The 16,328-nt window shown below is 46.4% G+C and overlaps 1 protein-coding gene and 1 pseudogene across 3 annotated transcripts in view, besides 1 other annotated feature; both read right to left on the minus strand.

The window, feature by feature from the left end:
• The window catches only part of HS1BP3 (HCLS1 binding protein 3), a 97,238-nt gene that overhangs the window by 38,761 nt on the left and 42,149 nt on the right, over positions 1 to 16,328 (minus strand). The window lies entirely within an intron of this gene.
• Positions 6,244 to 7,188: an enhancer, noted in NCBI's record as "H3K27ac-H3K4me1 hESC enhancer chr2:20798625-20799569 (GRCh37/hg19 assembly coordinates)". NCBI's record gives its function as "activates a minimal SCP1, AML or CMV promoter by ChIP-STARR-seq in naive H9 embryonic stem cells {active_cell/tissue: H9 hESC(naive)}" and the evidence as "EXISTENCE:reporter gene assay evidence [ECO:0000049][PMID:30033119]".
• RPS25P3 (ribosomal protein S25 pseudogene 3) lies at positions 13,659 to 14,033 on the minus strand (annotated as a pseudogene).

Genomic DNA, 16,328 nt, shown 5'->3' on the forward strand with positions numbered 1-16,328 from the left:
TGGAGGCCAGAAGTCTGAAGTTGAGGTGTCAGCAGGACCCTGCGCCCTCAGAGGGTCCTTCTTTGCCTCTTCCAGTTCCTGGCGTTCCCCCGCTGGTGGCAGCACCACGCCCATCCCTGCCTCAGCCTTCACGTGGCCTTCTCTTCTCCACTGTGTGTCTCTTACAGAAACACCTGTGATTGGATTTAAGGCCCACCTGGATAACACAGGATGATCTCATCTTGAGATCCTTAATTTAATTTCATCCACAGATTCCTTTTCCAAATAAAGTCGCATTCACACGTTCCAGGGGTTAGGATGCGAACATGGCTTTTTTGGGGGCAAGAATTCAACCCACGATATCACCTCCTTAAGGAAAATCCCAAGTCATTACTCTGTGCTTCAAGGCCCTTCAGGATCTGGCCTTATCCATGACCTCCAACCTCCCGCTGTCTACCCCACCACCCCTGACCTCCAGCCCTGTCCCCCCACTGTCCCCCCAGCACACCATGTTCCTGCTTCAGGGCCTTGGCAGATGCTGGCCTTTCCCCCAGGGTCCACACGCTTCCTCCATCAGCATCGTCAGGTTTAGTCAATTGTTTGGTATGGCCAGGCCCTCCCTGGCCACATTGTCTAAACTTGCAACCTTCCCGGAACACTCCCTCTTCCTCACCTGCCTTCTCTCTTCCTTACCACTCATCACCATCACACGTGCCGGCCTTCTCCTCATTTATGTTGTTCATTGTCTCCCCTCCCCTAGGCCACAGGCTTGTTTTGTCAGTTTTGTTCACTGCTGTGTCCCAGCGGCTAGAACAACGCTTGACACTAGTTGACCTTGGCTGAATGAATGAGTGAATGAATGAGCAAGAGTTTGCTCAGGCTGAACTCTGAGCTGCCGGAAGCCTTTGTAGACACCCCCAGAACATGCTGGCCCCACCTCTGAGCTCCTGGTGTACCTCGGTTCTCATGAGGCCCCCGCACTTCAGCCTCTGGTGATCCTCTTTTTCGAGCCAGACATGTTGGCTCAGCCAACACTCCCTGAGCCCACATCATGAGTCACCAGAGGCCCTTGACCCTTCCTCCCACAACCTTCCCCCACTGCGCCCGCTCTCACCCTGGTCACAGTTAGCCGAGTGTGTGCAGGGAACTGTGTATGAAGGTCAGGCCTGCCCTGCTGCCCCTGCTGGTCCCTGGAGCCGCCACGGGGATGGAAGAGTGGGTCCTTTTGATGCACTCAAGCCTGGGATATGGTCCTCCAGGGCCGGCATTGAAGGAATGTACAAGGGCTGCCCCAGGGCCTGCAACACTAACTGTGAAGAGTCCCCTAAAACTTCCCTGATGAAAACCACCACAGCCTCCATTTCAGAAGAGGGACGTGGGCTTCTTGCCATGTCTCTGCTGCTGATGGGCTCTGTGACTGGCACAATTTCCTTCCTGTTGCTGGTCCCCAGTTTTGTCATCTTTAAATCTGGGCATCGACCCATCGGGGATGGCTACAATAGCTTGCATCTTACACATTCCAACTCAGATGGCTCTGGCTGTGCCACTGGGTTGAGAAGGATTCTGAGGTTCAATCCAGGCTTAACAGGAAGAAGTGCAGTGATCCATTAGTGACATCTGCCATGGGTGTGGGGAGAGTGGGGGCCCAGGTGTGCTAAGGCTGGGTTAGATGCTTTGTGAGTGGGCTTTGGGCAACACGTCCACGTGAGTCTATGGATGCCTGATGATAGAGAAAAGATCCTGGAGGAGGTGAATGGGTCTGAAATGAGTGGCTGATGGCATCACAAATCCTTTTTGAGCTTACTTTGGTGCATTGAGGCAGCTGGCATGGCCTGCCTGCTGGGAAGGCATCAATGACCCAATGGAGAGATGGCTCCTTCCCTATGCTGGGGTTGAAGTTGCAGGGCAGTTAGGCTAGGGCCCTGCTCTGTGTTTTGTCTCTCAGGTGGCCATAGTGCTTGGTAGAAGAGGCTGTCCTCTGGCTCAGGATTTGCAGCAACAAGGCCAGCCTCTAGCTGGGCCTAGCCAAGTGCCCTCTGAGACTCGCTGGAAGTGAGGTCCCCTATCTCAATCCATTCAGGCTGCTACAACAAAATACCGTGGATGGGGTGGCTTAGAAATGGCAGACATGTATTTCTCACAGTTCTGGAGGCTGAAAGTTCCAGATCAAGGTGTCAGCAGCTTCGGTGTCTGGGAGGGCTGGCTCTCTGATTCCTGGAGGGGGCTGTCTTGCTGCATCTTCATGGATGGAAGGGGCAAGGGGGTTTTCCTCAGGTCTCTTTTATAAGGGCATTAATCCCAAACAGGAGGGCTCTGTCCTATGCCCTAATCTCTTCCAAAGGCCCCACCTCCCATACCCTCACCTTGCTGGAGAGAATTTCAACATACACGTTGTCGGGAGTAAAAAAACACTCAGATCATAGCATCTCGGGATAGACAGAGCCCGGCATGCCACTTCCCTGAATGAGGGAGACATTCTTGTAGCCTGCACAGCTGGAGCAGGGAGTGAGAGCCTCGGCAGCCTTGGGAGAAGGTGCCCTAATGTGACATGGCCTCAGTTTCCCAGCTGTGGGCAGAGATCACAGCAGCTGTCTCCTTTTCAGTCTGGACAGATGGCTGTGACCCACAGAAACGCCATGGCCCGGGAACAGAGCTGTGTCTACCCTGGGACACAGCTGTAACTACCCTGGGACAGAGCTGTGTCTACCCACGGGAAGGGGGATCCTTTTCTAATTTGTACAAAGGTGCCCTGGGGGTCCAGGTCATGCATAGAAAATTCCTCACCAGGCACTCACCAGGAGCAGAACCCTATCATCCTCCTCCTCCTCACAGTGACTCCTGCTCTAACAGAGGCACAGAGGCGCAGAAAGAGGGAGTTCCCCTGAGGCAGCAGGAGGGCTTCCTGGAGGAGGGAGGGTTTCGGCTGGGCCTTGCTGATCCTGTAGCAACCAGTGATTCTGGCCACAGCCCGTGCCTGCCTGCCTGACTCTCTGCGAAGGGACTGCAGCCTGCTCTGTGCTGCGGCCCTTCCTCGACATGGCTGGTTTCTTCCCTAGGTCTATCTTTGGTTCCTGCTGACTCTTCCGTGACATAAATGCAAATGAGACCACAGACAACTAGCCTCAAAGCCAAGGAAGCCGCTGGCTGGAGTTGTCTCCACAGTCCCCTGCTGGGCAGGGAAGTGGGCAGAGGTGATGGTCACGTCCATCCATCACGGCCCATCAGGGGAGCAGGCCTCTTGGGGCCCCTGACACCTCCAAGTGGCCAAAAAAAAGGTCATACCAGGAGACAGAGCCTTAGACTAACCAACAAGAGCTTCCCGCATGGCTGATGACAGTTTCCCACGTTCTTTCTTAATCACTGGGACCTTAGTTCAAAGGTGATCCTGTGTGGAGTCCTGAAATGTAAAGCAGAGTGGTCCAGAGCTTACCTCTTGCCCTGAGGTCTTTTCATCAAACCTAGGGCTCCTTAGGGCACAGTAGCTTGAAAACCGCTGACCCACAGGATGTGACTCAAATTTCTAAAGCTCTCACAACTCTCCCCTCCTTCCCCGTGACACTGCTCTAATCCCACCTCTGGGTGTACCAGATACCTCTCGCTCCTGCCTTGGCCCTTTAGTATTTTGATACTAGCTGCTTTGTCAAAACTCCTTCAAGACCCCAGCTAGGATACTGCCTCCTCCAGGAAGCTTATTCTACTATCTGAATATTTGTGTTCCTCCAAGATTCTATTCATCTGCTCAAACCTAAACCCCCAAGGCGCTGGTATTAGAAGGTGAGGCCTTAGAGCAGGGATTAGGTCATGAGGGTAAAGCTCTCATGAATAGGATTAGTGACCTTATAAAAGAGGCTCCAGGGAGCTGCCTTGCCACTTTCACATGTGAGGACATGGTGAGAAGACAGCAATCTGTGAACCAGACAGCAGGCCCTCACCAGGCACCAAATCAACTGATGCCTTGACCTTGGACTTCTCAGCCTCCAGAACTGTGAGCTATACATTGCTGTTGTTTATAATCACCCAGTCTATGGCAGTTTTTATAGCAGCTTGAAAGGACTAAGAGAATTACTTTTATCTCTTCCCCCCACCCACATACATGTGAGCAGAGTGGTCCCTTCTTCCCCTTTCTGTGCTGTACTCTGTCCTTCTACCCATCACAGCCTTCCTCCTGCTGTGTCTGAAGCACCCATTTCTCCGTTTGTCCTACACACAAATCTCAGCTCCTTCAGGGCCTGGTGTTTTTCCCCCTCTGCATTTCCTGGGCTGGACCCTCATAGGTACCCCATCAGAATCTTTCACTGCAGACCCGTGGCAGCCAGCAGGTGCCATGGCTCCCTGGACTCTGTGGGTAGGATTTGGGCAACTTGAATGTGTTTAGGATCCAGCCATGGTTCCCATTAAGGCCACATAAAAGGCCTGAGCTGGAGTCATCTCTAATCCCTCCTTAAAAGGGAGGCCCAGGGGAGACACAGGCCGCCACTCCAGGGCCCCAGGGTCCCCTCTGTGTTTATGACATGGCCTCAGAACATGCAGTTTACAGGCCAGAAGCAGCATGAGGCCCTTGGCCACAGTCCTGGCCATCCCCTTATTGACCTTCTCTCTGAGCCCAGCAGGAAGCAGGCCTCTGTTCTAGGACTTTGGAGCAAAAGGTCACTTCCTGGGCCAGAGTAACCACGGCAACACCATTCCCCTGGCAGCCTTGGACTAGCAAAGTGTCCTCATAGCTCTGATTTTGTCTAAATTTATCATTTCAGGCTAAGGAAGGCCTTGTACTGGTTTTAGAGCCCTGGACGGAGCTCCAGGTGACATGGGCCTTCCTGGTTCTACCACCGACCTGCTGGGGGTTTCAGCAAGCCTTCACCTTCCACGTTGGCGTTCTCAGCTCTAAGAAAAGGAAGTTGATTTCCATGAGAGGTGATCAAACTGTGCTGTAGAAACCTCAGCGATTCCACAGAACATTAGAGTACCTCTGCCAAGCAGAATTCTCCACATGGAGAAACCTCCCCTCTTACTGATTTTATATGCCATGCATGTCAACGCTCTGGGGAAGATTTTTTGCTTGAGAAAAAAAAAAAATTCTTGCTGATTAAAGAAAAACAACCCTGGAAAGTGCTGAATATGGTATCTATGCATTTATTATGGAAATCTAGATAGTTTGCACTGAGATCATAGATGGTTCTCATAGAATGGGACTAGGAGGATTCAAGGAAAGAAGACCTGCTTCCTGTTTCCCAGCCCGTAAACCCTTGCTGTTGTTTTCAAGATTTTTATGATCCTTTCTGGGCTGTGATGAGAGGGCCTGGCAGGGGAGCCGGCTGCCTCCTTATCGAAGACTCCCTGCCTCAGTGCCTAGAGCCAGGCTCAGCCCTGGTGAGGAGGGACAATCCTGGCTGGGTAGGTCAGGCAGCTAAAAGTTGGGGGTCAGGTCCCCTACTTCAGCGGTCCCTAACCTTTTTGGCATCAGGGAAGACAAAAATCGGAAGACAATTTTTCCACAAACTGGAGATGGAGGGATGGTTTCGGGATGACTCAAGCACATTACATTTTTGGTGCACTTTATTTCTATTATTATTACGTTGTAATATATAATGAAATAATGATCTAACTCACCATAATGTAGAATCAGTGGGAGCCCTGAGCTTGTTTGCCTGCAACTAGATGGTCCCACCTTCAGGGGATGAGAGACAGTGATAGATCGTCAGGCATTAGATTCTCATAAGGAGCACACAACCAAGATCTCTTGAATGAGCAAGGGCTCGCATGCACAATGGGGCTCGCACTCCTGTGAGAATCTAATGCTGCCGCTGATCTGACAGGAGGTGAAGCTCAGGCAGTAGTGCCAGCAATGGGGAGTGGCTGTAAATACAGATGAAGCTTTACTGGCCTGCTGCTCACCTTCTGCTGTGCAGCCCGGTTCCTAACAGGCCAGGGACCGGTACTTCTTTTTTTTTTTTTTTTTTTTTTTTTTTTTTTTTTTTTGAGACGGAGTCTCGCTCTGTCGCCCAGGCTGGAGTGCAGTGGCGGGATCTCGGCTCACTGCAAGCTCCGCCTCCCGGGTTCACGCCATTCTCCTGCCTCAGCCTCCCGAGTAGCTGGGACTACAGGCGCCCGCCACTACGCCCGGCTAATTTTTTGTATTTTTAGTAGAGACGGGGTTTCACTGTTTTAGCCGGGATGGTCTCGATCTCCTGACCTCGTGATCCGCCCGCCTCGGCCTCCCAAAGTGCTGGGATTACAGGCGTGAGCCACCGCGCCCGGCCGGTACTTCTTTGAATATATAATTGGGCTCTTTATATTCTTCTTGTAAACTTCCCCCTTTCTTCTCCAGGGAGTACTGAGATGGTCAGCTGAGCTTCTCCCTGACAAGGGGTCCCGGGAGGGAAGGGACAGATGCTAGGGAGGGCAGTGGGGAGTGGGGGGAATGGGGTGAGGTCGGTGGAAACCAGAGACAAGCGCAGGAGCCCACAACCTCAGCACCGCCCCTGGGGGCCTGTAGCCTGCTGGAGATACTGCTAAATCCTGGTGGAAACGTGTCTATTCTTTTCAGACTCCCGGCAACCAATCCGGGCCAGTAGCTGGGGCTGTTGGGATTCTGGAACAGGAACTGGGACAAGAAGGTGGAGGAGCTGTCCTGGCCCCAGGGGGAGTGAGGACACAGCAGTACCCACAGGTCCCACTCTTCCTCCCTTCCCCTGCCCTGGAGCAGGGAAGTACATCCCATGTTGGCAATCCTGCCAGCCACAGGCAGCCAACGGGTGCACGCTGTCCCAGCGAGCTGCCTGGGCTCGTGCCCAGTTAGGGACGTGGCCTGTGTCACCCCAATTGTCCAGGCCACCCAAGGCAGGCAAATGAGCTTTAGGTATTTTAAAATCAGATTTGGATACACACCAAACCGGGATGCTATCTCTGGAGGCAGGCTGGGATTGTGGACAGAGGTCAAAGGGGCTTTGAGCCTTATCTGCCATGTTCCATTTTATTTTCAAGGAAAATGTATTCATGGACTTCTTGTGTAACACACACACACACACACACACACACACACACACACACACTCTGTTTTTTTTTTTTTAAAGATCTGACTTTAAAAGCTTACAGTAAAAATAACAATTGTTTTACAAGAGACTCCAAACATGTTCTTCTTTGGAGGTGGGAGGTAGGGAGGGACTGCCTGATTAGCACTGTGCCCTTGATATGCCAGCATCAGGTCCAGCTCCTGTGCCTCAGTTTCCCCATCTGTTCCCCAGGGAGACAGGCCTGATAATCTCCAAGGTTCATTCAGCCCTGCCATCAAGTGACAAGAAGTTCCACTCTGTGAAGTCACAGGCAGCCTGTCTGCCTGCGTTCCTTGTGAGCCTTAGTTACAGCAGTGAGAGCTGATTCCAGATGCGAGCCCTCAGGGGCCTGAGAGTGGTCCCAGGGGGACCCCTGGGGGCTCTTTGGCCAAATCAGTTAAGCTTCCTTCCTGGGGAGAGTAATGCCAGGCCTCAGAAAGCTTCAACAGCCCAGCCTCTGTGCAGTCGGACCAAATGCTGGCCTTGTAGCCTGTTAGTCCCTTTTCTTGCCACGCTTGGGAATGAACAACTGTGATCTACGGGTGTCATTAAGACAGAGATGGTCTGGTTAGGGACACTGGCCCAGTGACCCTGCCCCTGGCACCAATCACTATGACAACAGCTCAATAGGGTCCCAAGGGCCTAAGAATCCTGCTTCCACTGAGGGCGAGGTTGGCTGAGGTCAGACAAAGAGGGATTAATAGAGCCCTGTTCTCGTTAAACCACAAAGCGCCATTATTACAAGTCGCAACGGCCCTAGCAGGAGATGTATCATGCTTTCAAGTCACAGAGAACCCAGCAAACCAAAGAGAATGGGTCCAGCATCAGCCACAAAGTCACCCTGGGGCCCAGAATCAGAGCAGGAGCAGAAAAATCTGAAATAACGCAAATGTTCAACAGACATTTGCGTAACACACAGACCAACCATAAAATAGCACGGATTGTGGACATTCAAATGATGATGCTGATTGTATTTTCTACATTAAAATCCTCATGATATGTGGAAACAAGTTCACAAAAACTGTAAATAAGCAACATTTTTGTTTAAAAACTCATATCCATATGTATAGACAGTGAAAATATAGAAGAAAAATCTTTTAAAATGTGAGTGGTTATCTTTGAAAAATGAGATTGTGTGTAATTCTTTTTCTTCCTTTGGTTTATCTGTATTTTTATAAAAAAATATATATTTCTCTTGTATTTCAAAATTTTTTTATTATTTTAAAAATTGGTGCAGAGAATTCTAGGGTGGAGTGGTCATTCTTTCCCTCTGGAGTCAAACTTCAGTTAATGAAACCCACAAGAGGGCACTGTTTCGGAGAGTTAAACTTTCTTTTTAACTAATATTTTATTAATTCAAGTACCAATACTTAAAAATTTGTTTTACATTGACCAGTGTATAAGAAAATTATTCTAAACAGTACTGCATATTCTCATGCCTTCTTGCAATTGAGTACAATGAAAATAGTTTATCATTAGCTTCATCATTGTGAAAGGTGCAGATTCTACCATATCACATAATATGCTGATCTTCAGGGCTATTGGCTAAGCAGAAGAGTTTGTATCTGCACTAAGCAGCTTCAGATTACTTCCCTTACTGAGTATCTAGACTTGCTTTTTATAATTTTCCAGTTTCTTTCACTACTGATAAACCATCAGTATCAGTATTCTGTAGAAACTCTTTGCCACTTTAATTTGGTGCTTCTAATCTGCCGTCATCTTGGAAAAACACACATGCTTGTTAGAAGTGTGAATAAACTAAGAGAACGCAGATCTGAGTGAGGGTTTGATATCGTTTGGCTGTGACCCCACCCATATCTCATCTTGAATTGTAGTTACCATAATTCCCACATGCTGTGGGAGGGACCCGGTGGGAGGTAATTGAATCATGGGGGCGGGTCTTTCCTGTGCTGTTCTCGTGGTTGTAAGTTTCACGAGACCTGATGATTTTATAAACGGAAATTTTCCTGCACAAGTCGCTCTTGCCTGCCGCCATGTAAGAGGTCCCTTTGCTCTTCCTTTGTCTTCCACCATGATTGTGAGGCCTCCCCAGCCATGTGGAACTGGGAGTCCATTAAACCTCTTTCCTTTATAAATCACCCAGTTTTCAAGTGTGTCTTCTTTTTTTTTTTTTTTTTTTTTTTTTTGAGACGGAGTCTTGCTCTGTTGCCCAGGCTGGAGTGCAGTGGCGTGATCTCGGCTCACTGCAAGCTCCGCCTTCCAGGTTCACGCCATTCTCATATCTTGTAAGTTATGTTGAAGAGTTTGGATTTTATCAGGGCAGTTGGGAGTTATTGAAGAATTTCAAGAAAGGAAGCAAGGGGCTCATATTTGTGTTTTTTGAAAGATTACTACAGCAAGGACAATTTTGTGTGTGGCGAAACTGTTGGCAGGAAGACAGAAAGATGTGGGTTTGGAAATACAAAGGAAAGGAAATTGGGCTGTGAGGAGATAGGTTATCAGGGATGTCATCCATGTGTTTGAATTTATCAGCTAGAAGAGAGCAAGACCTGCTCTCTTCTAGCTGATAAATTCAAACACATTCTCCTTTTAGGAGGAGCCATGCGGGGGGAATTTATTTCTGGCCTCTGTGCCAGAAAGAGCAACGTCTCTTCTAAACTACAGATACACTTTTATGTCATATGCCTGCAAATCTTATATTAATAAATAACTGTATTTCCCTCTTTGCTTTGGTCACTGGGAAGCTCTGTGAATGTAATTCTATGCACGGAATTTACTTTTGGTTTCATCGCAAGATGCATACTTTCATTTTGCTCAGAATTGTTTATTTATGGTATCTTTTTGTCTTATTCAAATTTTCAAAAGTGGCATCAAATTATTTTTGGAATAAAGTGGAGTATAAAAAAGAAGTTTTTAAAGTGTGAGCTTGAAAAAAACCGAAACATCAATAGCTCTTTAACAGATTCTCAAATCCTTATGATTGCTCATTTTGTATACAGTTTTTGAAATCTGATGACTGTTTTGGTATGGTCAAATTTGTCTATGTTAAATATTGTTTTTAAAAACTGGAAAGTCGATGACACCAAAAGCACAAGCCCATGAGGAAAAACTAGATAAATTGGAGTTCATCAAAATTTTAAAGTTTTGTGCTTCAAAGGCCACTATCAAGAAAGTGAAAATACAGCCCACAGAATGGGAGAAAATATTTGCAAATTATATATCTGATAAGGTTTATCGGGAATACATAAGAAGCTCTTTTCGAAAACTCAATAATAAAAAGACAACACAATATAAAGATGGGCAAAAGATCTAGATAGACATTTCTCCAAACAAGATATACAAATGGCTAATAACAAGCACCAAAAAAGATGCTCAACATCATTAGTCATCAGATACAAATCAAAACCACCATGAGCTGTCACTTCACATTCATGAGGATGGCTATCATTAAAAAGACAGATATTAACAATTGTTAGGGAGGAGGTGGAGAAATGGGAACCTTCATATCATGCTGGTGGGAATATAAGATGGCACAATTACTTTAGAAAACAGTCTGGAAGTTCCTCAAAAAGTTAAACATAGAATCACCATATAATCCAGCAATTCTACTGTTAGGTATATGTCCAAGAGAAATAGAAACATAGGTCCACACCAAAACTACACATGAATGTTCACAGCAACATTATTCACAATAGCCAAAAGGTGAAAAAAAGCCAAATGCTTATTAACTAATGAATGGATAAACAAAATGCGGTAAAGCTATGCAAAGAATTGTTATCCAGCCCTAGAAAGGAATGGCCCAGGTCTCCTGATACATGCTGCAACATGGATGACCCTTGAAAGCAGTATGCTAGGCGAAAGAAGTCAGAATTACCAAAAATCCACATATTACATTATCCCATATATATAAAATGTCCAGAATGGGCAAATAGAGAGAGATAGAAAGTAGATTAGTTATTGCTTAACGTTGAGGGGATAGAGAGATTGGGGTTTGATGGCTAAGGAGTATAGAGTTTCTTTTAGAAGTGATGAAAATATAAAATTGATTGTGGTAGTATTTGTACAACTCTATGCATGTAATACAACTATTGAATTTACACCTTAAGTGAGTGAATTATATGGTACATGAATTATATCTCAATGAAGCCGTTTTAAAAAACATAATGGAAGCCACCATGCTTGGCCTACTCAGTAGACTGTTAATGGGAACCCAGGTCCTACATGGCCCTCCAGAGATGGGTTCTAACTCCGGCTCAGCCGCTTCCCAGCTATGTAAGCTCCTCACACAAATCGCTTCATCTCCCTAAAATGGAGACAGCTATGCCTGATGCCCAGTGGGCCTGCACTGGGTCTAGAGAGTGCTGGAGCTCGGTAGGAGCCCAGTCCGCTGCTTCCCAGAGGGCCCTCCAAGACCCCTGCCCTCAGAAGGTGCCCAACATCCTAAATGAGTGGGGCCTGCAGATTCCCTTTTTGGAAATTAACAAGTGCTCTTGATGATGTTTAAATATTTAAATAACAATTCATCAGACCTTAAGGGGCTGAGAAACTCAGGGGAGGTTCTGGAAGGCAGGAGCTGCAGTGTAGCTGAGGATGCCTCTTTTGTCCCTGTTCCCCATGGAGCCTAGGGGATGGTCTAAGAGGCTGTCTACACTTCAGTGGTCATTCACCCCTCAGCTGCAGAATCAGTAGCTTTCTAGTCTACACCCCACATTCTGCTTCTCTCAGCCCCTGAATAAGGAGCCTGCTTTTAAAGACTGCCCCGGGACAGCCTTGGGCATGGAGTTCTCTGTCGTGAGATTACAGAAAGTCAGCATCAGGCCTCCTCGTGTTAGAGACAGGTCGACTGAGGTCCAGGGATAGGTGAGCCTGGCTCAGTGGCCTCTCAGCCCAATTCTCTGGAGGATTCCAGGACATGTCCTGAGCCACTCCAGTGAGCCAGGCTCTGCTCATGTTTCACGTGAGCACCTCCCTGAATTGCAACAACAAATCTGTGGAGTAGACATTGATTACCCTTTTTATAGATGAGAGCACAGAGACTGGCTCAAGGTGGCTTAGAGAGTGAGCAAGCTGGGATTCACATCCAGCCTGTCTGACAGCAAAACCTGTGTTCTTTGTTCTGGGCCAGTTCCCCCAGTTTCTTCATGCCAGAAGCCAAGCAGGTCGCAGAGGAGGGAAGATGCTTCCATCCCATCCCCTGAGAGAGACTCTGCCACGGAGTCTGGGTTTTCAGGATATTATTGGGCCTCACCTGGTTGCACTACCTGCCCTCCCATCCCCACTCCGACTCATTTCTCTCCCTAAACACCAGATTCTCTGCAGCCCAGGCTCCTTGAGGTTGGGAGCGTTCATTTAAAGTCCCACGGGAGAAAAGGAAAAAGAATCATGGATGTTCCCAGTTCCAGCCTTGAGTCTCTCTCTCAGGATGCCTTTTGTTGCCAAGAATGATGAAACAGATGTCTTGGCAATAGCTTCAAATGTTTCCTGCCAAACCAGGGGAGAATTTGTCTTCAGTTTAGATGCAGCCAAGACAGACAAGTCCCAGCTCTTATTATTCACAGGAAGTGCACAAACACACACGAGCTTCCCAAACCTGGGAGGCCCATGGCTCCCCAGCTTCTCCTCATCAAGATTTCAGCATCATCTATAGACACAGGTTGCACCCCCCACTTGCTTCATGCCTTCCATCCTCCACACCCTTCAGGCTTTCCATGTCACCCTCACCCCTCATCATCGATGACTCCAAGGCCTCGGCCTGGCAGGCAAGGCCACCTTCCTTTTGTTCCCATCATGTCCTAGGTAAACTTTTTGTTTTTGGTGGTGGCGGTGGTAAAATACACATCACATAAAATTTACCATTTTAACCATTTTAAAGGGTACAATTCAGTGGTGTTTAGTATATTTACAAAGCTGTACAACTCTTGTTGCTATCGACTTCCGGAATATGTCATCACCCCCCAAAGGAAAACCTATACCTCCCCGCACTCCCAGCCCCTGGCAACCAGCTACCTACCTTCTTCTGTCTCTTTAAATCTGTCTTTTCTGGGTATTTCATATAAATGGTATCCTACAATGTGTGACCCTTGGTGACTGGCTTCTTTCACTCAGCTGAATGTTTTCAAGGTTCATCCATGTCCTAGTGTGTGTCAGCACTTCTTGTACTAATACTTTAGGGCTGTTCTTTATGACTCAATAATATTCTGTTGGATGGATAAACCACATTTTGTTGATTTGTTCTTCCACTGATGGATGTTTATGTTGTTTCCACCTTTTAGCTATTGTGAATAGTGCCACTAGGAACATTCTTGCATGAGTTTTGTTCGAACCCCTGTCTTCAATTCTTTGGGGCATATACCTAGGAGTGGAATGCTGGGTCATACAGTAATTCTATTTTACTTCTTGAGGAACCACCACACTATTTTCCATATTGACCATACCATTCTACATTCCTATCAGCAGGGTATGAAGCTTTCAGTTCCTCTACATCCTCACCAACATTTGTTATTTTTCTTTCAAAAAAAAAAAATTCTAGCCATCTGAATAGATTTAAGTGGGTATCTCATTGTGGTTTTGATTTGTATATTTTTGACTAATGATTTCACTGAGCATATTTTCTTTTTCTTTGATTTAATAAAGTTTTATTTTTCTAAATGTACAGTTGGTTGGACCTGTTCATGCGTCTTCACCAGCAGCTGGTGCATCTCCACCCTTGGTATTTCTGGTATAAATTACTTGAACTCTGCTTTGAAACCAGTTTGATGAGTCCTTTGCTAAGGAGCTCCTGAAGGCTGCCCTGGCCAGGGAGACTCAAATCTTCAGTCTCTCAGACACCATAGCTGGGGTTATAAGTTTACAGTTGGGAACTTCCTTACAGGGTTTGTCTTAGGTAGTTTTGTCAAACAAAACTAAGTTATTGGGCTTGTCCCGAACTATGTCTTTGGAGCACTTCTTCTTTTTGGCCTTGTCCCCGGATTTGCTCACTGGGTCTTTGTCTTTCCTGGCCAACTTTCCAGCGTCTTTCTTCTTCTTCTTGTCCTTGGGTGGCATTGCAAAGCTCAGAGAGCAGCGGTGAACGCTACAGCCTCGCTAAGATGTCAGACAAAAAGACACTGAACATATTTTCATGTGTTTGTTGTCCTTTGTATATTTTCTTTGAATAAATGCCTATGTAAATCCTATGCCAATTTTTAAATTGGGTTATTTGTTGTTGAGTTGTAGGAGTTCTTTATATATTCTAGACACTAGATCCTTAAACGATATATGGTTTGCAAACATTTTGTCCTATTCTTTGTGTTGTCTTTCACTCTCTTGATGTTGTCCTTGGAAGCACAAAAGTTTTTAGTTTCGATAAATTCATCAATTTATCTTTTTATTTTTTTTTGGCCGCTTGTGCTCTTGGTGTCATATCTAATAATCCATGGCCAAATCTCAGGTCATGAAGACTTACCCTATATTTTTATTAAGAGTTTTATAGTAATAGCTCTTATATTTAGGTCTTTGATTTATGTTGAGTTAATTTTTGCATATGGTATGAGGTAGGGTGCAACTTCATTCTTTTTTTTTTTTGAGACAGAGTCTTGCTCCATCGCCCAGGCTGGAGTGCAGTGGTGTGGTCTCAGCTCACTGCAACCTCCACCTCCCAGGTTCAAGCAATTCTCCTGCCTTGGCCTCCTGAGTAGCTGGAGTTACAGACACCCATGACTATGCCCAGCTAATTTTTGTATTTTTAGAAGAGACAGGGTTTCACCATGTTGGCCAGGCTGGTCTCAAACTCCTGACCTCAAGTGATCTGCCCACCTCAGCCTCCCAATGTGCTGGGATTACAGGCATGAGCCACCACACCTGGCCTCTGACTTCATTCTTTTACACGTGGATGTCCCCTCCAATACAATTTCTTGGGAGGCTATTCTGCATGGAATGGTCTTGGCACCCTTGTCATAAATCAAGTGCCACACGTGTATGAGTTTATATCTGGACTCTTAATTCCATCCAGTTGATCTATATGTCTATCCTGTGCCAGTGCCACACTGTTTTGATTACTGTAACTTTGTAGTGACTTTTGAAATTGGGAAGTATAAGTCCTCCAACTTTGCTCTTCTTTTTGAAGATTGCTTTAGCTATTCAGGGTCCCTTGTAATTCCATACAAATTTTAGGATTAGCTTTTCCATTTCTGTAAAAACATCACATTGGGATTTTGATAAGCATGGCATTAAATCTGTAGATCTATTTGGAGATTACTGTCATTTTAACAATATCAAGTCTTCTAATCAATGAACATGGAATGTCTTTTTATTTTCTTAAATTTTATTTAATTTCTTTCAGCGGTGTTACATAGTTTTCAATGTTCAAGTCTTCCCCTCCCTTTGTTAAATTCATTTCTAGTTATTTTATTGTGTTTGGTGCTATTGTAAATTGAATCGTTTTCTTGATTTTCCTTTTGTAGTGTGTATAGAAATATAACTAATTTTGTGTTAATATTGTATCCTTCAACTTTGTCAAATTCATATATTAGCTATAATAGTTTTTTTGTAGATTCTTTAGTATCAGCTACATGTAAGATCATGTCATCTGCAAATAAATGTGGTTCTCCTGCTTATTTTACTATCTAGATGTCTTTTTTTTTTCTTGCCTAGTTTCTCTGGCTAGAACTTCCAGTACAATATTGCATAGAAGTAGCAGAAACAGGCCGGGTGTGGTGGCTCATGCCTGTAATCCCAGCACTTTGGGAGGCCGATGCGGGAGGATCACCTGAGGTTGGGAGTTCGAGACCAGCCTGACCAACATGGTGAAACCCCGTCTCTACTAAAAATACAAAATTAGCTGGCTGTGGTGGTGCATGCCTGTAATCCCAGCTACTTGGGAGACTGAAGCAGGAGAATCTCTTGAACCCGGGAGGTGGAGTTTGCAGTGAGCCATGATTGCACCATTGCACCCCAGCCCGGGCAACAAGAGCGAAACTCCGTCTCAAAAAAAAAAAAAAAAAAAAAAGAAGTAGCAGAAACGGGCATCCTGTCTTGTTCCTGATCTTCGGGCAAAGATTTCTGTCTTTCACCAAGTGTTTTCTTGACTCTCATTGGCTCATCCTCTACTTTCTCCAGGGTGTCCGGCTGTCACCCTTGCTCACTCTGCTGCCCCAAGGAAACCAGTTCTCCAGCCTTTGCCACACTCACATCCTCTAGTCCCCACCTCTGCCCTCCACTTTCTGATTCAGTGCTCTATCTTTCAAACCAAGAGTTTTTTGCGGAGTTCCTATGCCTCACTCCTGTGGCTCCAACTAGTCATGCATCTCTCCTCCCTGGCCCTCTCCCACAGCTCTGAGCATGAAGAGGCCTGAGGCACAC

Source organism: Homo sapiens, chromosome 2 (assembly GCF_000001405.40).
Source record: "Homo sapiens chromosome 2, GRCh38.p14 Primary Assembly".
Lineage (NCBI taxonomy): Eukaryota > Metazoa > Chordata > Mammalia > Primates > Hominidae > Homo > Homo sapiens.